The 23448-nt window shown below is 34.8% G+C and overlaps 1 protein-coding gene and 1 non-coding gene across 13 annotated transcripts in view; both read right to left on the reverse strand.

Moving 5' to 3' along the window:
• LINGO2 (leucine rich repeat and Ig domain containing 2) overlaps nt 1-23448 on the reverse strand; it is a 1275985-nt gene that overhangs the window by 931163 nt on the left and 321374 nt on the right. The window lies entirely within an intron of this gene.
• Nucleotides 20100-20176, reverse strand: MIR873 (microRNA 873). The gene has a single exon (NR_030618.1). It is a non-coding gene; the product is annotated as a microRNA 873 (primary transcript).

The raw sequence follows: 23448 nt of genomic DNA on the forward strand, positions 1-23448 counted from the left end.
GTTCCAAACCTCAAAGATTAAATTTTGCAACTGAAAATTAAGCTTAGCACTGTGGTTTTGCAGATGAAGATAGAAAGTAGTGGAATATATTATTTAAGCCCCCAACTCACAACATTTGCAATATTTAAGTGACTATATACACAATTATCATTTACTGATATATTTGATGGAATTTATATCTCGCTGATTTGATAATATAACAAATTTCCAGGCCTGCTTTTAGCTCAGGACTATTTGTTAAATATGGGATAAAAATAAATGATATACTTATTAAATACATATTTATCACTGCCAAAGATCAGGCATAGTTAGAACACTGAATTCAAATTTAGTTTAAATTTGATAAACATCTAATTATCCATTCATCAAAGATGTTTTGAGCCCCTACTATGAGGGAAAAACTAGGCTAGACATTGAAGAATCAAAGGGAATACTTAATGTTCCATCCTTCAGGGAGCTCAGAGTCATCAGGTAAACTGACAAATCTGCAAATATTTCCAGTACAGCCATAACTGTAATGACGGACAAGTGTAGGATCCTACAGAAGAAGTGGCTAATCAGAATTAGACAATAAGAAAGGTCTTTTCAAAAGAGACGAAGCCTGACTTCTATAGAGGGTTTAAAAGTATTTGACCAGGTGACCAGAGGATGAACAAGGAGTGGGGGGAGGGGTCACAGAAAGAAGGCTATTCCAGATAAAGAAAACAGTACTTGCGAAATTCAAGAGACAATGTGTCTGAATTAGGAACTACATGTTAAATTATGTATGACAGAGAAATAGCAAGCAGGAAGAAAAAAGATGAAAATTAGCTAAAAGTCCAGTGGTTTGAACTGTGTGGTAGACAGAGCCTGAGGAAGAAGACACAAGATGCATGAGAAATGGCTAGTCCCTGTCTTCAAGGAGCCCACAGATCAAGAGGTGATCAATAGGTCCAAAATCAATAGGTGATCAATAGGTCAAAAATCAATAGGTGATTTTGGACAACAATGTCTCCTTCAACACTGCAACTCCCACTGTTGCACCTACTACAAATAATAAACATAGCACCCTTTTCCCAATTTCCCACCAAGATTCAGTACCCTATGGGCTCGTTTTACACCCTACCCTGCCTTTCGATTCTTCCCTCCCCTTACATAAAAATGTCTTTAAAGGAAAGGACACATCAGTCAATGTTCAAAGCCAACGTTATTATACCTGATAAATAAAAGTATTAACAGTAAAGCTAAAAACACTTCAGAATCAGAAAAAAAAAACCCATAACATGCATTTATATTGAGTCCCTCCTTCACTCTTTGAAGGATTTGTTACTTTATTTTCCCATTTGTAGACACATGGCCAGTTCATTGAAATGGTACACAATTTTTACTCATTTTCTCTAAACCATACCTGATATTTGTAATCCTCTGCTTAAATACCTCATTTTCGAGGCACTGCTTTTTCATAAAATCCACAAAGTTTATTACGATCTGACAACAATCGAACTGCACAACATTATTTTTTTCCATTCCACCCCATGTGTGTCATCTTCCAGTCCACCTGTACTTCCCACTCTAACCTAAACATATAACTTCATGATTGTGAACATAAAATGACTTTATGTACTTCTTGCATTTCTCCTCCTAGAAAATTCTTGTTCAATCTTAGACACAGCTCCAATATAACGTCCACTGTGAAACATTCTCTGACTCCCCATACAGAGGTTATAGCTTCTATCAGGACCCCACAGACCAATGTTCCTACTGCTAGTATAGTATTTTCTATTCATGTGTATTGGTTTATACGTTTATCTGTCTTCCAATTCTTTGACCTTCTGAGGTCATAAACTGTGCCTTAGTCATCTGGAACAGAAAAATACCTGATGTGGAGAAAATATTTGCAGCTTATATACCGTACTTGGTGTCTATAGCAATCATAAGTAAAAGCATAAAAAGAAGCAACAAAAAAGGACATAAAACCATAGAAAAGTAAACTAATTATTTGAACTTTTAAATCGTACTAAAGAAATATCAACAAGTATGGGAAAATGCTTCACTTAATTTATATTTTAAAAAAGCAAATGAAAACAGCATCAAGATATTTATTCCATCAGATTGGCAATAATTAAAACATGTATCAGCCAAAGGCGACAGAAAATAGAAATTTTGTTTCATTAATAATAGTGTAAGTTGCCATGTTTTTTTGTACTACATAGTAGGAAATGTCAAAATTTCAAAATGAACACACAATTTTATCTAAAAATTCTCCTTCTAGACATCTACAGAAATGTTTACATTTGAGTAAAATATATTGACAGATGATGATTGTGGCAACTTTTAATGAATTAAAAGTGGGAACCAATTTAAATATTTATAAATAAGGAAATTGTTAAATAAATTATAATTCAATATTGCTATGTAGATACTAAAGGTATATAATAATGAGGTAAGCCTAAATTATATTTAAATAATATATAAATACTTTAAAATACAGCAAATCTATATGAAAATGTGGCCATAATAATCTGCTAATTGAAAATGAAATTAAACAATAGAACAATATTCATAATATAAGCTCATTGAAAATATATATGCATATAGAAAACACTCTAGAACACACATACCAACTTCTTTAAAATGTTTATTTTTAGGAAATAGGAATGGAAAGTGGGAGGGAAAGCAATGGTGGCAGTAGAAAGGAGATTTCAACATTTTACTTCATATACTCTGTGTTACTACCTTAGTCATATGACAATATATTCAGCATTAAAATATAGAAAATAAGAAAATGAACTATATATTTTATGTAATATATAAAAATATTAAGCTTAGGAACACTGTCAGCTATACTATAGTGTAACCAAATGATGCTTACATTTGCATCTTCAAACCTCTGAGGTTTTTATCTTTGCAGCACATAAGATGACAAGTAGAAGGAGCAATCTACTGAAAACACTACATAAGGAGTGAAATAAGCATGAAAGAATGAGAGACGTTGGTTCAAATCCCAGTTCTGATGCATTAACTGGGTGAACTTTATATGTTGGAGCCTTACCTTCTTAAATATAAAATATGAATACTAGTACTTATCTCCTATGGTTTTGAAAATGCTTGGTTCATAGTAGATGCTTAATAATTTCTACCTTATTTTATCTTCTGTTACTTTATAAAACCTACCTTATTTGGAGATTAATAATAAGTTTTGCACCAAGATGTCTTTTACTTGAGGGGAGTGTCACAATATAGTCAATGATGTGTTGATTTCCTCTCAATTTATAATGCAATATTGCCTTTAACCTCAAACTTCAAAATCATCATAATTTTATGCCTTTACTCATAAAATCACAGAACCATAAAACTAGAGAGAAAGAAACCTTCAAAAGTCATTTAGCTCAGGTTTCACACCTGCTAGCAAAATGATGGGCATGATAAAATATCTATTGTGTTTTAATGATTCCCAAAAAGAAACTCTAGCCTTTCCTTAAATGACTGATCCATGAAATGTGTCATTTAAGTCACCTCCTATAGAAAATGGACATTTACAGGAAAAATGATTTCCTTTTTTTTTGACATCAAACTATTGTAGTTGTCCTCACTTATTATATTAACAACAGTGGAAGACATGACATTTAACAGGAAAGATAAGATTCACAAGCAGGAAACAATTAAACTATAATGGGGCAAAATTAAATGAAGTTATCTTTTGAGAAACAGTGAAAATAGATTATAATTTTAGATGTGATGGCAAATTCTTGACAGTGTTCACTCTGTTACAATTTCTGAATCAGTTGTTTCACTAGCTGTTCATGGCAAAAAGATTCCATCAAGTTTGGTACATGCTTCCAAGGGGATATGCACAAAAATTCCTCTCCAGTAAACAAACAACACATTTTCTGGCAGGTGATCATAACCATATTGTTTTGATTAAATAGGTACTTTGTTCATCAACAGTTCTTAGATGTATTAAGAGTATTTCATAGCTAACACTATGTAGCTTAAAGTTCTGCACCTACAATCTTGCTACTAGAGAGGTGCACTTTGTTTTCTACTTGATAACATCTATGCAAAACCAGGAAGATTTTCCCAAAAGGTAGAAATAAGACAATTACATTAACTGGAAAAATCGTTGAGCAATAAAAATCATTTTAATTGAAAATCAAATGATGATTCTTCTACCTGAGGATTAGGATTCCATTTGCAATGACAAAGAAAATAAATCAGTTAAACATAATCCATATTTAATATCTATGAAAATTCAGTAGCCAAAATTAGATAATCTTTTGTTTACTTTTATCACATGACAGATCAACATTCTCTACTAGTAAGAAAACTATTTCTGGCCAGATTTGGTGGCTCACACTGTAATCCTTTGGGAGGCCGAGGTGGGCGGATCACTTGAGGTCAGGAGTTCAAAATCAGCCTGGCCAGCATGGTGAAACCTCGTCTCTACTAAAAATACAAAAAATTAGTCAGGAGTGGTGGCGGGCACCTGTAATCTCATCTACTTGGGAGGCTGAGGGAGGAGAATCACTTGAACTGGGGAGGCAGAGGTTGCAGTGAGCTGAGCTCATGCCACTACACCATTGCACTCTCTAGCCTGGATGACAGAGAGAGACTCAGTCTCAAAAAAAAAAAGAAAAAAAAAAAAAAGAAACTATTTCTTCTAATTCATTACAACTACCAAGCCACTGTTCAAGAAAGTTTTGACTAAACACTTCTCTATAAAATGGCTAAGATCTGGAACCCAAAATTTAGAAGGCAGGAGTTAGACTTGGCCAAACTTTTCAGGTAATTTTACCTTGGCATTACTTTGATTGGAATTTGCCAACCCTTATTAACTGGTTTATGAAGGCTGTTGGTTGTGATACAACTTTGTAACTATAAAGCCCCCCAAGGATGTCAGTTTTTATTTTAATTATTCAAGTTATGAACTCATATAATTGCAGAAAAAGACTAAAGGAAGAATTATCTTACTTCTCTTTTGATGTTCTACAAAAAGTAGCTGTTTTTATTTAGTAGTTCTCAAACCTGTTTATGCATCTGTGTACCTAGAACACATGAGCTCTCTGTAGAAGAGCATAATGTAAATACCTCATTTACATTCCACCATAAAACTAAAATAAAAAAATATATATATATAGCTGAAATGAATATCTCTATGCAATAAATAATATCTAATACTAATTGAAAATACAAACATTTTAGGAATCCATAAATAAATAACATTAACCAATTAAGTAAATCTAATGTAATGGCTGAGGAAGAATGACAAGTAACAGGAAATTGCTTGACTTAAACAATTAAAAACTTATTAATTTGGTCATCTGCTGGCCCATATCATGAAGACTTAGAAAAATATTTTTGGATAAAGAGATTAAAATAGAGAATATTCTAGCCATTATTAGCTTTTTATTTCTTTCTGAAAATCAAGGAATTACCATTGTTTACTTTTAAAAGCCAATATTTGGACCAGTTCACAGAAAACCAATATTGGCCATTAATTTGAGTACATCTGGTCTATGTACTCAGTGGTTCTACGTAAGTGATATATCTCACTGTGTAAGTGATAAGGATATTATGAGATTAAAAAAATCAAAATAAATTAAAGCAAATAATGGAAGAAAAACACTTTACTCATCTTTAAAATAACTAAAATTTACCAAACATTTGTTAACTATCGAGCACTGTTTTTAAGTGTATTACATGTATTATTTTTTGATTTGTACTGTAATTATATAAAGTACATTAAGGGGAAATTTATATTTATATATAACAAAATCATATATTTTTCATTTCTATTTTATATACTTCAAAACTAGGGCACAGTGAGATTAAGTACATTAGGCAAAATCCATAAAATCTTCAGTGGTGGAACCAGGCTTTGAATCTAGAATTTGCCTTCAGGGTCCACGCTTTTTTAAATACATAAAACACCTTCCAGCTCTGAAGACTTTGGGTTTTAGATAGTCTCATTATCCTTTCTAGATGTGAAATGCTTTACTTTTATGGAGACTTTATTAAGGATTCCCAAATCTAGCTTTTGGTAGTTAAATGACCTGTGGCTTTACGCAACATTTCTTCATTTAAACTTTATTCATTTAGTTGTGTAACAACGATGTGACAAATATCCATAGTGTGCCCCACTACAGGTCCTTGTTTCTGAGAAAGGTTGTACTGGTTGACTATACCATGCTAAGGCTTAACTAAAACCATGATGCAAGCCTAGTGAACACCAAAAACATAGCAATCATGTTTTTCTCTCTCAGAGAGAATTATAGACTGAACTACTGATTTGACACAGCTTGGCCTTGAAAAACACAAGTAGAAATTACATTTACTTTGCTTTGACAGCAAGAACCTCAGAAATAGATTCTGGTTCTCCTCAATTAACTTTTTCTCCTATCTTTTTATTTTGAAAAACTTCAAATCTACTGAAAATATTTTTTAAAAAATAGTACAACTTACATCTCTAAATGTTTACCTGTATACAACACTAATATTTTGCCACATCTGCTTCATCTCTTTTTCTCTCTTTCTGAATATGTGCGTGCATGTCTGGGTTTGTGTACGTCTACACAAAATTATACATATTTTATGTGAGAACCATTTGAAAGTAAGTTGTAAATAGCATGGTATTTCATCCTGAACACTCTGGCATGAATTTCTTAACAAAAAAGGACTTTCACCTATATGTTTACAATACTATTATCTCAAGAAATATAACAATACCACTTTACCAATTGTCTCAAGAGTATCCTTTATAGCTATTTTCCTCCTGGATTTTTTAAATCCAGGATCCAAAAAGGGGCATATATTGCATTTATTGGCATGCCCTTTATTACCATTAACCTACAATGGTTTTCCCCACGTCGAAATTTTACCTTTCATCACAACTGATATTTTTGAAGTTTTGAGGCCTGTTACTTTTTAGAATATCCAACAATTTGGATTTGTCTGCTTGTTTCCTTTTTATTAGATTCAGGTTAAATATTTTGGCAAAATAATTCCAGAAAGGTGCTATTGACTTTACTAACTTTTAAGATTCTCTTATTTGAATGTGTGTGTTTTAACATACCTCTGGTTTTTCTAATCGATCTTTATATTTCCTGGTCCTAATGCTTAATACATTTATGTTTTCATTTCATTTTGCATTTCCTTGTTAAAGCCATTCACATTTCATTTAACAGAAGAGGTATTAATCAATCAACTGGCTCTGACATTTCATGTTTTATATTTTCCAAAAAAAATCAACTAACAATAAAAGTATACCAAGAATATTAAACCCTTTCACTCCGAGTATTTTTTAAACCATGTTAACATAACTCTGCTGGGTCTATGGACTAATATGGCAGTAGTCAGTGGCATTGCTACTCTTCTCAATAATAATGTCTGCACAGTGATTTGCGATTTTTAAGACATTTTCATATACATTATGTCATTTATTAAGACCTCTCAGAGAGTCATGCCTACGATATAGTATTATTATTATTATTTTTATTTTATTTTTATTATACTTTAAGTTTTACGGTACATGTGCACAATGTGCAGGTTAGTTACATATGTATACATGTGCCATGCTGGTGTGCTGCACCCATTAACTCCTCATTTAGCATTAGGTATATCTCCTAAGGCTATCCCTCCCCACTCCCCGCACCCAACAACAGTCCCCAGAGTGTGATGCTCCCCTTCCAGTGTCCATGTGTTCTCATTGTTCAATTCCCACCTATGAGTGAGAACACGTGGTGTTTGGTTTTTTGTCCTTGCTATACTTTACTGAGAATGATGATATCCAATTTCATCTATGTCCCTACAAAGGACATGAGCTCATCATTTTTTATGGCTGCATAGTATTCCATGGTGTATATGTGCCACATTTTCTTAATCCAGTCTATCGTTGCTGGACATTTGGGTTGGTTCCAAGTCTTTGCTATTGTGAATAGTGCCGCAATAAACATACGTGTGCAGGTGTCTTTATAGCAGCATGATTTATAGTCCTTTGGGTATATACCCAGTAATAGGATGGCTGGGTCAAATGGTAATTCTAGTTCTAGATCCCTGAGGAATCGCCACACTGACTTCCACAATGGTTGAACTAGTTTGCAGTCCCACCAACAGTGTAAAAGTGTTCCTATTTCTCCACATCCTCTCCAGCACCTGTTGTTTCCTGACTTTTTAATGACTGCCATTCTAACTGGTGTGAGATGGTATCTCATTCTGGTTTTGATTTGCATTTGTCTGATGGCCAGTGATGGTAACCATTTTTTCATGTGTTTTTTGGCTGCATAAATGTCTTCTTTTGAAAAGTGTCTGTTCATGTCCTTCACCCACTTTTTGATGGGGTTGTGTTTTTTTTTTTTGTAAATTTGTTTGAGTTCATTTTAGATTCTGGATATTAGCCCTTTGTCAGATGAGTAGGTTGCAAAAATTTTCTCCCATTTTGTAGGTTGCCTGTTCACTCTGATGGTAGTTTCTTTTGCTGTGCAGAAGCTCTTTAGTTTAATTAGATCCCATTTGTCAATTTTGGCTTTCGTTGCCATTGCTTTTGGTGTTTTAGACATGAAGTCCTTGCCCATGCCTATGTCCTGAATGGTAATGCCTAGGTTTTCTTCTAGGGTTTTTATGGTTTTAGGTCTAACATTTAAGTCGTTAATCCATCTTGAATTAATTTTTGTATAAGGTGTCAGGAAGGGATCCAGTTTCAGCTTTCTACATATGGCTAGCCAGTTTTCCCAGCTCCATTTATTAAATAGGGAATCCTTTCCCCATTGCTTGTTTTTCTCAGGTTTGTCAAAGATCAGATAGTTGTAGATATGCAGCGTTATTTCTGAGGGCTCTGTTCTGTTCCATTGATCTATATCTCTGTTTTGGTACCAGTACCATGCTGTTTTGGTGACTGTAGCCTTGTAGTGTAGTTTGAAGTCAGGTAGCGTGATGCCTCCAGCTTTGTTCTTTTGGCTTAGGATTGACTTGGCAATGCAGGCTCTTTTTTGGTTCCATAGGAACTTTAAAGTAGTTTTTTCCAATTCTGTGAAGAAAGTCATTGGTAGCTTGATGGGGATGGCATTGAATCTATAAATTACCTTGGGCAGTATGGCCATTTTCACGATATTGATTCTTCCTACCAATGAGCATGGAATGTTCTTCCATTTGTTTGTATCCTCTTTTATTTCATTGAGCAGTGGTTTGTAGTTCTCCTTGAAGAGGTCCTTCACGTCCCTTGAAAGTTGGATTCCTAGGTATTTTATTCTCTTTGAAGCAATTGTGAAACCCTTCAAAAATTAATGAATCCGGGAGCTGGTTTTTTGAAAGGATCAACAAAATTGATAGACCACTAGCAAGACTAATAAAGAAAAAATGAGAGAAGAATCAAACAGATGCAATAAAAAATGATAAAGGGGATATCACCACCAATCCCACAGAAATACAATCTACCATCAGAGAATACTACAAACACCTCTATGCAAATAAACTAGAAAATCTAGAAGAAATGGATAAATTCCTCGACACATACACCCTCCCAAGACTAAACCAGGAAGAAGTTGAATCTCCGAATAGACCAATAACAGGCTCTGAAATTGAGGCAATATTCAATAGCTTACCAACCAAAAAGAGTCCAGGACTAGATGGATTCACAGCCGAATTCTACCAGAGGTACAAGGAGGAAGAGGTACCATTCCTTCTGAAACTATTCCAATCAATAGAAAAAGAGGGAATCCTCCCAAACTCATTTTATGAGGCCAGCATCATCCTGATACCAAAGCCAGGCAGAGACACAACCAAAAAAGAGAATTTTAGACCAATATCCTTGATGATCATTGATGCAAAAATCCTCAATAAAATACTGGCAAACCGAATCCAGCAGAATATCAAAAAGCTTATCCACCAGGATCAAGTGGGCTTCATCCCTGGGATGCAAGGCTGGTTCAATATACGCAAATCAATAAATGTAATCCAGCATATAAACAGAACCAAAGACAAAAACCACATGATTATCTCAATAGATGCAGAAAAGGCCTTTGACAAATTTCAACAACCCTTCATGCTAAAAACTCTCAATAAATTAGGTACTGATGGGACGTATCTCAAAATAATAAGGGCTATCTATGACAAACCCACAGCCAATATCATACTGAATGGGCAAAAACTGGAAGCATTCCTTTGAAAACTGGCACAAGACAGGGATGCCCTCTCTCACCACTCCTATTCAACATAGTGTTGGAAGTTCTGGCCAGGGCAATTAGGCAGGAGAAGGAAATAAAGTGTATTCAATTAGGAAAAGAGGAAGTCAAATTGTCCCTGTTTGCAGATGACATGATTGTACAACTAGAAAACCCCATTGTCTCAGCCCAAAATCTCCTTAAGCTGATACGCAACTTCAGCAAAGTGTCAGGATACAAAATCAATGTACAAAAATCACAAGCATTCTTATACACCAATAACAGCCAAACAGAGACCCAAATCATGAGTGAACTCCCATTCACAATTGCTTCTAGTATTATTTTTTAATAGGAGAGTGAAACAAGGGTCTATTCTAAAATGACATGTCCAAAGGCATATGGATAATATGTAGTAGCACTGAACTTAACCATAAGTACTAGAACTGAAAATTTGGTGCTCAGTTTGGTTTTTATTCTCCACCACATCATATTATCCTTCAATAGTGATAATAAGAAACCTTCCCAAATGACACAAAACACCTCATTAAAAAGTCAGCTATATTAACAATCTTTTCCAGGAAATTTCATACACAGCTAGATTCTACATGTTTCTTCCAATTACCACTGAAATTTGTGCCTTTTTTTCCAGTCATTCTCACATCATCTATGGGTTCCAGTTGGTTGAAGGCATTTCTGCCTCATTAGTTTTTAATTGGCTCACACTGACACTTTTGCAAACAACCACCCTAACCTACACCCCTCTTTGTAGAGTTCCATGTCCCCCAGAGCTAACATGCTAAGTATGTGTAGAAATGGTTGACTTTAACATCACCACTGTGAGTAGATCTGGGTAAAATGTAAAGTATTGTTGGACTTGGGAATTTCTGAGGAAAATATATTCTGGAATTGCTACTGTGGCAATTGACTAGGAAAACAAAAAGAAAAAAAAGTGGTAGAAAGAGCTAGACAGGGAATCAGAAAGCCTATGTGTATAACTCTGATAAATTACTAAATTTCTTTGAGCTACCAGTTCCTAGTCTTCCTAATACTTATTTACTTAAATAAAAGAATGCCATTGAACTTAAATTATCTCTAAGTTTCCTGCCAGCTATAAGATTCAATGATTTTATTGACGATGTATTAGGGATAATGTAAATAACTTTGAATGAAATTGAACTCTGCCCTTAGAAGAATATTCTTTTTTTCTCTCTTTTGAGACTGAGTCTCGCTCTGTCGCCAAGGCTGGAGTGCAGTGGCACGATCTTTGTTCACTGCAACCTCCGCCTCCCAGGTGTAGGGAAAAGAAAGAGAGATCTGACTGTTACTGTGTCTATGTAGAAAGGAAATACATAAGAGACTCCATTTTGAAAAAGACTTGTACCTTAAAGAATTGCTTTGCTGAGACGTTGTTAATTTGTAGCTTTGCCCCAGCCACTTTGACCCAACCTGGAGCTCACAAAAACATGTGTTGTATAAAATCAAGGTTTAAGTGATCTAGGGCTGTGCAGGATGTGCCTTGTTAACAAAATGTTTACAAGCAATATACTTGGTAAAAGTCATCGCCATTCTCTAGTCTCAATAAACCAGGGGCACAATGCACTGTGGAAAGCCGCAGGGACCTCTGCCCTTGAAAGCGGGGTATTGTCCAAGGTTTCTCCCCATGTGATAGTCTGAAATATGGCCTCGTGGGATGAGAAAGACCTGACCGTCACCCAGCCCAACACCCGTAAAGGGTCTGTGCTGAGGGGGACTGGTGAAAGAGGAAAGCCTCTTGCAGTTGAGATAGAGGAAGGCCACTGTCTCCTGCCTGCCCCTGGGAACTGAATGTCTTGGTATAAAACCCGATTGTACATTTGTTCAATTCTAAGATAGGAGAAAAACCGCCCTATGGTGAGAGGCAAGACATGTTTGCAGCAATCCTGCCTTGTTATTCTTTACTCCGCTGAGATGTTTGGGTGGAGGGAAACATAAATCTGGCCTACGTGCACATCCAGCCATAGTACCTTCCCTTGAACTTAATTATGACATAGATTCTTTTGCTCACATGTTTGTTGCTGACCTTCTCCTTATTATCACCCTGCTCTCCGACTACATTCCTTTCTGCTGAAATAATGAAAATAATAATCAATAAAAACTGAGGGAACTCAGAGGCCGGTGCAGGTCTTTAGTATGCTGAGTGCCGGTCCCCTGGGCCCACTGTTGTTTCTCTACACTTTGTCTCTGTGTCTTATTTCTTTTATCAGTCTCTCATCCCACCCGACTAGAAATACCCACAGGTGTGGAGGGGCAGGCCACCCCTTCACCGGGTTCCAGCGATTCTCCTGCCTCAGCCTCCTGAGTAGCTGGGATTACAGGTATGTCACACCACGCCTGGCTAATTTTTGTATTTTTAGTAGAGATGGGGTTTTACCCTGTTAGCCAGGCTGGTCTCGAACCCCTGACCTCAAGTGATCCACCCGCCTCAGCCTCCCAAAGTGCTGGAATTATAGGCATGAGCCACCATGCCGGTCAGAATATTCTATTTTAAATTTGTCAGTGATCCACAAAAAGAAACAAATACTTTCCTAAGAAAGCATTTTAATTTTCAAAAATACAGAAAAATACTTATTTGACAAATATTTTAATGATTTTTATCTTACTAATTTGACTGTATTTTAAGTGAAAAATGCTAACATTACTGACAACCTTTTTTTTTTTTTCAATGTACGGTATGGTTTCATTGTTTTTTTCCAACTTTTATTTTAAGTTCAGGGTTACATGTGCAGGATGTGCAGATTTGTTACATAAGTAAACGTGTGTCATGGTGGTTTGTTGCACAGATCATCCCATTACCTAGGTATTAAGCCCAGCATCCACTAGCTATTCTTCCTGATCTTCTCCCTTCTACCAGTCAGTCCCTGCCCTCTGCCAGGCCACAGGATGTGTTGTTCCCCACCACGTGTCCATGTGTGCTCATCATTTAGCTTCCGCTTATAAGCGAGAACATGCAATATTTGGTGAAAACCTTTTTCTTATGTTAACTATTGTCTTTTCATTTTCAGTGGGTTTTGAGGCTTTAATATTGTCAATTATATTTTGCATTAATCTACCTGTACAGCATTTTAAATCTGAAGCACACAGCGGACCACTGTATTAGTAACTTTCACACCAATGGTCATAATAATCACAATAATAATCAAAATCTGTACTTTCTTTATGTTCAGTAAATTCAATTCCCAAAATTGCCTGTTGCTTCTAATTTCCTTGAATCACAGATACGATTTAATCTTGTATATTCAACTTTGTATATTTAATTTTGTATAGACAGCTTCCAAAGGGCAAAAGAGAGAACTAAAATTCACTTAGCCACTAAAACAGCATTACCTGTCTAACAGCATATTCACAATAGATGAAGAGATGTAGCACAACATGGTCCAAAGTATGCAATCTGGGGTTAGACAGTCCTGAGTTTGAACTCCAGCTCTGCCATTTGCTAGTATATCAGGATTATTGAGAAGTTTGGAAACAATGATTTGGTACAGCTACTAGAACACTGTATGCATTTAACTAATGGTAGCCATCTGTAAACTCCAGTAATACAACAGCATTAAAGTTCTACCTGCTTAGAGAGTGGTAGACCTTCTATAGAACCAAGTTAGCAAATATTCAATATCAGTACACTAGAAATATTTCAGAAAATAGATTAGCTATGCTCCTCTAAGATAAGGGCTCTCAACCTTTTCATTATAACCATCTCACACATGATTATCTCTACAGTCTTGGTTGTCTGTCATTGTCCTACACCTCGTGGACCACACTGACACATATTCAGTGACTCACACCATAAAGTAGTAGTTATTATTGTTACCTCATCCTCCCTATCCTTTGCTGCTGATACTCATCATCACCAAGTCAATTAATTTTCATTCCCTAAATGTCTCTGCAATGTATCCTGTCTCTTTTCTGTAGTTTTTAAATCTTCACTGCCACCATCTTCTCCTGAGCTATTGTAATAGTCTTGTAATTAGTCCCTTACATACACACACAGCTCCCTCTGATACATTATTTACACTGTAGTGATCTTTAAAATAAACACACATACACAAATGTGTTAACTGGCCTTCCCCAATTCAAACACATCAACAACATCCCAAGTCCTTAGAATAAAAACCAAAGCCCTTACCACAGCCCACAAGATTATAGATGATTTGGAGCTGTTATCTACCTGTTGAGCTCAATCCAAACTCCTTCCTCCTTCACTCTCTGTGCTCTGGTCATGTCAGTCTTCTTTAATTTATTTATTTATTCATTCATTTATTTAGAGACGGAGTCTTGCTCTGTTGCCTAGCCTGGAGTGTAGGGGTGTGATCTCAGCTCACTGCAACCTCTGCCTCCCGGGTTCAAGTGATTCTCCTACCTCACAGGCGTGAGCCACTGTGCCCGGCCTAGTCTTTTTAAATTGCTGTACGTGTTGCTATTGTCTTTAACCTCAGGTTGTTTACATAGTGTTCCTTCTGCCTAGAACATTCTCATCTTTCTACCACACTCACTCTGTTAATCTTTAATTCGTCAGATATCAGATCAAACACAACTTCCCAAGGAAAGCCCTCATTTCCCCCACTCAAACCATAATAAGGCAGGTATTTCCCTTCTATGCTGTCACAGCAACTGACATTTCCCTTCAGTGTATATTAATCACTTTTAATAATTCAAATATATATAAAATATGTGTGTGTGTATATATATATATATATATATATATATATATATATATATATTTGGTTTTTTTGTTTGTTTTGTTTTTGAGATGGAGTCTTGCTTTGTCACCCAGGCTGAAGTGCAGTGGCATGATCTGAGCTCACTGCAACCTCCACCTCCAAGGTTCAAGCAATTCTCCTGCCTCAGCCTCCCGAGTAGCTGGGATTACAGACATGCGCCACCACACCCAGCTAATTTTTATATTTTTGGTAGAGATGGGGTTTCACGGTGCTGAACAGGCTGGTCTCGAACTCCTGACCTCAAGTGATCCACTAGCCTCAGCCTCCCAAAGTGCTGGGATTACAGGCGTGAGCCACCGCGCCCGGCTAGAATATGTTATATTGTGTTTATTATATTAATATACTTATTATATATTAAATCATTAAATGTTAATTCCATACAGACAAGTGTCATGCTAAGTTTTCTCAGTTTTAATCCCTGGAGAATAGCGCAGTGTCTAAACAAACTAATACTCAACGAAAATTAGTTGAACAAAGTATAAAAAGAAATCAGGGAATATTTTTTCACTGTTATTTTCCCTTACAGTTTTTGTTTTGAAAATATTTTTTTCTCCTGTAAACTTTCAGTCTGCTCTTTTTTCCAAAGATGGATTGTGTCTGGCATATATAATCCAAGCCCTCTGCCCACCTATTACCCTTGATAATTGTATTTGATTAACCAGTCACATCACAGATGTTGCTACAATTTGATCAGCAAACAGTTCTTCTGATCAGCACGAAATAATCACTATCAGGGAAAGTGAATGTAATTCTGAGTTTTGTTAACAAATGGAGACTTACTATCGAAAAGAATATAATTTTGTTAGAATTTTTGAAATGTAAAAAATAATTATCTAAAAAGAGCAAATATTTAGATTACTTCCAAGGAATAGGACAGAGGTTCAATTATCGACCTGCGGACCTTTGTCCATCTGTAAATAATTCCCAAATTGTAAGTTGACTGTGTTTAAAAGTTTATACATAAGTAAGTCAATGGTTTAGAACTCAATGTATTTTCCATATATATATATATATAGTGTATGTATGTGTATATATATATATACAAATTTGTAATATATAAATTTGTAAAACTATACACATACACATTATATATAGTGTGTGTATATATATATAGTGTGTGTGTATATATATTCTTTAGCAGTATATATATATATTTCTTTAGCAATTGTATATATATACATATATACACTATATATACACACATATACACTATATATGTATATAGATACTATATATATGTATTTAGATACTATATATAATATTATATATAATATATATAATATATAATATTTTATATATATAATATATATAATATATAATAATATATTATATATATATATATATATATATATATGGCTAAAGAAATAACTTTAATGCATTTAGAAACCTCAAAATCAAAATTTCCCTGCTGGCACTGCAGGGTCCCCTCCCTTTGGCTGGCCCTCCTCTCAGAACACTGAGCACTCCCGGGCACTCAAAGTCTCTCTTGCCCACATGTGGGTAGGAGGGACACAGGGAGACCCTGCATTGTCCCTAATAATTGCAACGGTGCCCCTTGTGCCTGTCAGTCCGGGTGAGGTTGCCCCATGGGTGCAGTGTGGAAGTGGTGGCGACCAGAAGCTGAGAGAGGCCTGGCCAGCAAATGGGACTAGGCTGGACTCCCTGGAAGCAGCAGGGAGATATATATATATACACACACACACACATATATATATACACATACATACATACATATATACATAGATATATATACACACACATATACATATATATACACACATATATACATACATATATATATACATACATATACACGTTTATATATATATATATAAAGTCTGTGTGTACATATGACAACATATAAACATTTAGGCCCACACAACACTATTTAATTGCATAGTTAAAGTGTGTCAATAGCAATTAAATATTAAAGTCTATCTATAAAAAATGCATTTGAAGTAGTAGTTGCACTAGGAAAGATTTTTACAAGAACTGGTGCTATTATGGAACTAATTGCAATGAATAATAAAACTGAACTTTCTAGTTGCCTAAGGTTCTGCTACTTCTGAGGGGTAGAACAGCTATCCTTAGCTTCCCAGGTGGTGGAACATTTGAACAGGATGCCTGTAGGTCAGGGATCTGAGGTTGCCATGCAGAAACTAGGATCACTATTTTTAGTCAGTACAAACAGCTGAATTCTCCAGAGAGTTTCAAACTGCATAAACCAGATCCACTTTCACTAAGGTTCCTAGAAGCGCCATTGAACTTGCCTAATATACTCTTTTATCTTGGTAATTAATTGTTCAGCAACAAGTGAGAGTAACTATACAGTTGTTATATTTGGCTATTTATTTTCCTATGGTGGGCAAATAAAAAACAAAAATTTTATTTTAAGTATTGATACAAATAAATAGAATAACCTAGAATTGCTTTAAATTTCCTAAATTTTCATAAATTAACTAAATCAACGAGTTATGTTTGCTTTCAGTGTACTGACATGCCTTTACTCAAACTCAGAAATGAAATATACAGTGAGAAGGGGAAGAAAATTAATTGCAGAGAAGATAAAACATTGATATATTTGAAAGACATTATTGGCTAACATAATTAGGATAGAAAATGGAGGCTCAAAAAATTGGATCTAAGCTAAAATGGTACTATGAAAAAAATTTTTAAAACAAGCTTTTATGGAAGGTCTAAAATGGTATATTCCTTCTAGAAAGAGTAATTTGAAGAGCCAATTAAGTCATACTAGGCAGTAATCTTTCAGTTAATGGTATTTAATTAAAATGACAGGGCTACTCCTTGGATTTGAGGGTAATGACAAATGAAACTTTAATTAGAGTCTTACCTTCCAGGAAAGAGTATGGGCCACTGGATTTTTGCACAAAATATACCACAGTTACTCACATAATTTCTTTTGTTGCTTATTTCTTTTCTTCCAATTTTAAGTAATATATGTACTGCTTGTTTGTTTTTGATTTCCCGCTTTTACAGGTGAAAGTCTGTTTTTCTCTCTATGTAATTTCCCATAATTTATTCTAATGAGGCTAGCTAGTGTCATCTACAGAATCCTAGAATGAATTCAATACTAAACTAAAACTTTGCTTTTATGAGATAACATGCAATTGTGAGACACATTTAGGAGTTTCCACTTAGGCAACTTGAGATAAACTGAATATAATACATTCAAACAGAACATTAAATGAGAGAGAAATAATATAGAAATAGTAGTTAGAGCTTCGTCAAGTTAATATTAGAGATGCAGGCTTTTAAACTGAAGTGGATCTAACATATTTTAGATATTTAAGAAATGTTCCCCAGTGGGTTGACCACATTTCATTGCTTAAGGTAATGCAGAGCAGGGTATGAACAAGAAAGCCTAATGTATGATTTCCAACGAGTGAGGCAGGACCTTGTACATATAATGCTGTGTCCATTATAATAATGATGAACAAAGAGCTATACAAACACGCTTGTCAGTTTCTAACCCCAGACTCTGGCAGAACAGTTGAAAATAGATGCTCAATAGAGATGTCTGCTGAGTTGATGCTGACATATAAGTTCCATGTTATTGATCTACATGTGGGAAAAAAATTGAAAGGATTTTTTTTTCTCTAGTTATTGAAAGTCAAGGGTCAGATGAGCTCCTTGAATGAGGCCTATTGTTCTAACTTGCCCCTGGTCTTAAAAAAACTGTTGGCATTAGGATGAACTATACATTCCAGAAAAGTGATTCTCAACTCTCTCCTGATTGTACCTGATGACATGTTGCAGAAGCCAGTAATTTGTTACTAATATTAAAGAGTAATGTTAGTGGATGATTTGCTTTTATTAAAAAAAAAGAAGGGCATGTTCAGGGTGACATATATGCCACCTTATTGCATTCTAGTAAGATAAGCTTTTCAGAGGAGACATCACAACAAGCTACTGGAAATAAAATACAGCCAACACATTGTTTTATCTCAGCCACATCCAGCAGTGTGATCACACAGACACAAGGATCATGGGTTTAGATGTGGGGCAAAAAGACAAACAAAAAGGCTGAGAACTGTAATCCTAGATTGTGAAAGAGAAACAGAAAGGTCTACTGACCAGTGATTGACGATACTTCTGTCTGAAAACATGCTTTCAATCGATTTAATATTTTTCCATATTTATGCCAGGATAATTAAAATCAATTGAAGAAATCCTACAGAAATAAGCTCCAACTGGATTTAATTTGCAAAAAATTTAAAGGCTGCACATTGTTTTAGAAAAAAGACAGGTCAAAATGAAGGTAAGATTTGTATTACCAGCTTACATGTAAGAACTTCATTGAATGTTTTGAAGATAACATTTTGAGGAATGTAGAAAAACACTGAGAGGAACTTTATCACTAATTATTATAGAATATTTAACACAAATATAACCTTTAGATATGATTCATTTTTCTAAGTGAATTTGAAAGTATTTAGGTATGACTATGAGTAGAGTCTCTGCTACTCACTAATGTAGGATACACATCATCAACTTCATACATTTACTATATTCCTCCTTCAGTAATTGAATTTGTCACTCTTGTTAAAAGAAGACCATAAACAGATTATAAAGGATCAACCTTATGTGGTTTCATGAAAGGCTGCTTTATGAGATTTAACAACAGATTCATGCTATCAATGCTGATGCTAAATGTGGTCCATTGAACAATCCTGAAATATAAAAAGACTAATTACATAAGTTGATGTTACACATGAACATGAACAGAGAAAATATTTTCTCAGAAAAAAATTAGATAACAATCTCAACATTTATATACTTAAACTCCTGATTAGATACAACCAAGAAAAAAAGTTTAAGGGAATACATATGATTTTTAATTTTTTCCTTTCCTGCAAGGTCTATAAATTATCTTTCACATAAGCACTGGCACCATTCATTTCATTGAATAATTTATGTCTTGTAGAATGTCTGCTGAGTTTACAAAGATAAGATCAGGACTATTAGAGATGCTTCCCTTGGTGGGATTCAACACCTCAAGTAAACCTACTGACATCCATGTTGAGTGGACAAGTTAACCCTTGCCTAACTGAATTATTTTGCATTTTCAACATTACTTCCTTGTTTAGAACTTAAACTTATACTCAGAACTTGGAGGAACTGACAACAGTGGAAGGTACCAGCCATAAAATGTTGTCCATTGCAAAGCAGTAGAAATGAGTAGGAAGATTTGTGGGTGTTCCCGGGAACTCATCAGTCTCCTGTTCATTTTCAATAGGAGACTCACAAGTTCCTGCAAATGCACACAAACTTATTCTAAGCAGGAACCATTTGCAGATAAGCAGCTGTTCATATTTCCTCCATTTCAAGTGAATACAGTAATCTGTTCCCCTGGAGTATCTTCAGCAGCTTGCCTGGTGCTTGTGATTCTTTTCAAACAGTTTTGTGGGCATCCCAGACACTGGTCACCTTCATTTATGTATTCAATAAATATTGATTGAGCATCCCTTAAGCAGGTCACTGTTCTTGTTTTAAAGATAGAGTGATAAATAATTTCTTGCCTTTAGGGCAATTCTATCAAACATTAGTCCAGTTCACTTTCAATAATGCCTGAGTCAAAGTATCAGTCTCCAATGCCAAATGAGAGGCAGTGGTATTTAAATTTGTACTTCCTGGTGCAATGGGAAGAATCTAGCAAAGGGAACTACGAGATCAGAATTCTAGCCCTACTGCAGCTAAGACATAGCAGTATTTCCATGTCACACCATTTAACATGTTTTTTGCTTCAGTTTTTTTTTTAATTTTAAAAATTATTATTTGGGCTATTTTACTTTTCATTCTGGATATAAATGTGTGATGATGATATAATAACTGGAAACAAAGAATGGAAGTGTTTATACATAAATATAATGTTATTGAAGTTGTCTTTTTCTATTAAAAAACCTTTGTTTCAGCAATTACTGTAAATTTTAAATGTATTATTAATAACTGGAATCTTTTCTACCAGCCAACACATAAATTATTTTTCTCATATAAAAACAAATGGTTAATTTGCCCATTTAATGGCTCCTAACATTGAAACTTATTTTTATCAGCTTTAATGTCTCCATTAGATCTCAGACTCTAGCTCTAACGTTCTAAGAAGACAGGCTCAGTTCTTGACCAGGAAGGTGGTAATCATCAAGGTAAATATTTTTCCAAGACCAGGTGTTAGTCTTTGCAGTTTTTCTGAAATTTTAAGCTCTAGAAAATTTTGCCTATGTTAGTTTGTTCAAATGAAAAAAATAAATATTCCACTATCTCTTCTCCCCATAAAAAGCATGTGTATAGGCAATTATGCCTGTTCACACACAGGGTCTCTGTCCATAAAGGTTCCCAGCTGGTAAAATTTCATGCACTCATGCTTGGTACAGAATAGCATATAGATCCATTTATTTTACTACCATATGCCCTTGTAAGAGGCAGTATGTAAATACTTTATTGAAGAGGTTTAATTTTTAAGTCCTATCTAGGAATTGGCAGAAATTAACTACAGGTTTTCTTGGTTTTTTGTTTTGTTTTGTTTTGTTTTGTTTTGTTTTTGTGGGGCAAAAGAAGGGGTTTTGATCTCAGTAGACTTTCCTGTCCCTGGAGCTTGGATTTCTGTTTCTGTCTCACTGTTAAAGGACTGAGACCATATCTCCATATAATTAGGTTGTGCAGGTAAGCAGTTACTGTCTTTTCCTAAATGGGTACACACTTGTGTACCAGGGGCAGCACTGCCATGGAGACCTGATCAAAGGGGCCTGCCTGGTATTTAATGAGGTGGAAGAAGAATGCCACAATGAATACAGCCTCAACTACTCTGAATTATGAGGTTTATGTGGTTGAGTGTAGAAGTTTCTCCAAATGGACCCAGAGTCAGTTACTTGTATGGCAGAGGAGTTTGGAGGACAATGGGACATTCTCTCTTTAATCTCTACTAGGGCTGGGGAAGGAAGTAGACCCCACTGAATAACCTCCTCATTATGTGGCTATATTAAAATTGTTGAATATCTATTTATGTAAATCATATGCTATAAAGGTTATTTGCTGTTAAAGTCTCCAATTAAAATTCCAATTGACAGTCAAGAATCCTTGAAATAGCCTAATCAAATAAGAGTAGATCACCACTTTATCCAAGGAATAAGCATCCTCTAGGCAGAGGCACCATCCTGTTTTTCTTTTTTCCACACCTAGAAAATCTTCAGCAGCTAACAAAATCAACTGACTAGTATATGAAATGTATTTGTAAATAAATAAATAATCAGCAACTCAGAGAACATTTATTAAAAGTTTTCTAAAGGGTAGAGTAGGTGGCTAAATAAATGTGATACAATCATTTCCTTTATAGTGTTTGCATTAACATTTTACCTAATAATAAAACGTAGGTTATTTGTGGCAAATGCATATCACAGATGCAGATATACAAAGATGACAAGGAGAAACACTAAATAGCAATAAATGGTGCAAACCAAGAAACAGAGGAGGAAATGTTGAAGCAATTGTGTAGCAGTACATAAAAGTTTAGAGTTCTACAAGCAGAGACCTGTATGTAACTATCACACATAGAATAAGCAATGTATTCTATGTGTGCCTCACATTATATTTAATCTCTCTGGGACTTAGTTTTCTCATTTCAAAATGTGGATACTAGTAGTACCTATCTCATAGTATTTTATCATTCTTATCAGCATTATTGTCATTATTGAGGGTAAGGAATGGAACAGAGAGAACAAATTGAATGTTATAGCCCTGTTACTGAATTTACATATTAATGCTAAAATCTTGAAGCAGGAAAGGAATTTCTGGAGAAAAAAAAAAGAGTATTAGTCATATTAACACCTAACCCATTATAATCCTGAAAAATCTACTAATAACATTGTCATTATAATGAAGTCTGGTACCTTTGGGGTGAGTATAGATGCTATTTCTAGGGAACTGTTTCCACATTTCTCAAAAAGTTATTTAAGATGATGAAAACTATACCCATTCCTTGTACTTCTATTAAGAGAAGCCATTCCTTAACATCTTTATAGCTCTTTGACAACCTTTCTGCTACTTATTATTATCAATGCTGAAATAAATTATTTAGAGAATACTCATGCAATTTATGAGGTCACAATAAAGAAAATGGTCAAAGTCACAGAAATACAAATATTTCTTAAATACAGAGCAACATATTTTAGAATGAGAATTTAGACTACGTGAATGCTGTAAGGCACTTAAAAGTTTATATGAGTTTTCTATTTTAAGATACTTTTTTTATAAACACTCTAACATTATTCATGTTACTACCTCTTTGGTTAATAAGCATTTTCTATCCTTATCCCAGTGTCTGATCTTTAGAGAAACAAAATAAACTGTTGGAAATAACAAACTGGGTCTTTCTTTATAAATTTTTTTACCTCATCAAATCACTATGTTCATAAAGTATACTACATGGTTGAAATAGGTGGAGATAAATCTGAATTTTAAAATTTTCACTCCATGCTAGACTGCAGCGATGCACCTATCCAGGTTTTTGATTAGAATTATGAAAAACAAGCAGTCATAATGTA

This window comes from Homo sapiens, chromosome 9, assembly GCF_000001405.40.
Source record: "Homo sapiens chromosome 9, GRCh38.p14 Primary Assembly".
NCBI lineage: Eukaryota > Metazoa > Chordata > Mammalia > Primates > Hominidae > Homo > Homo sapiens.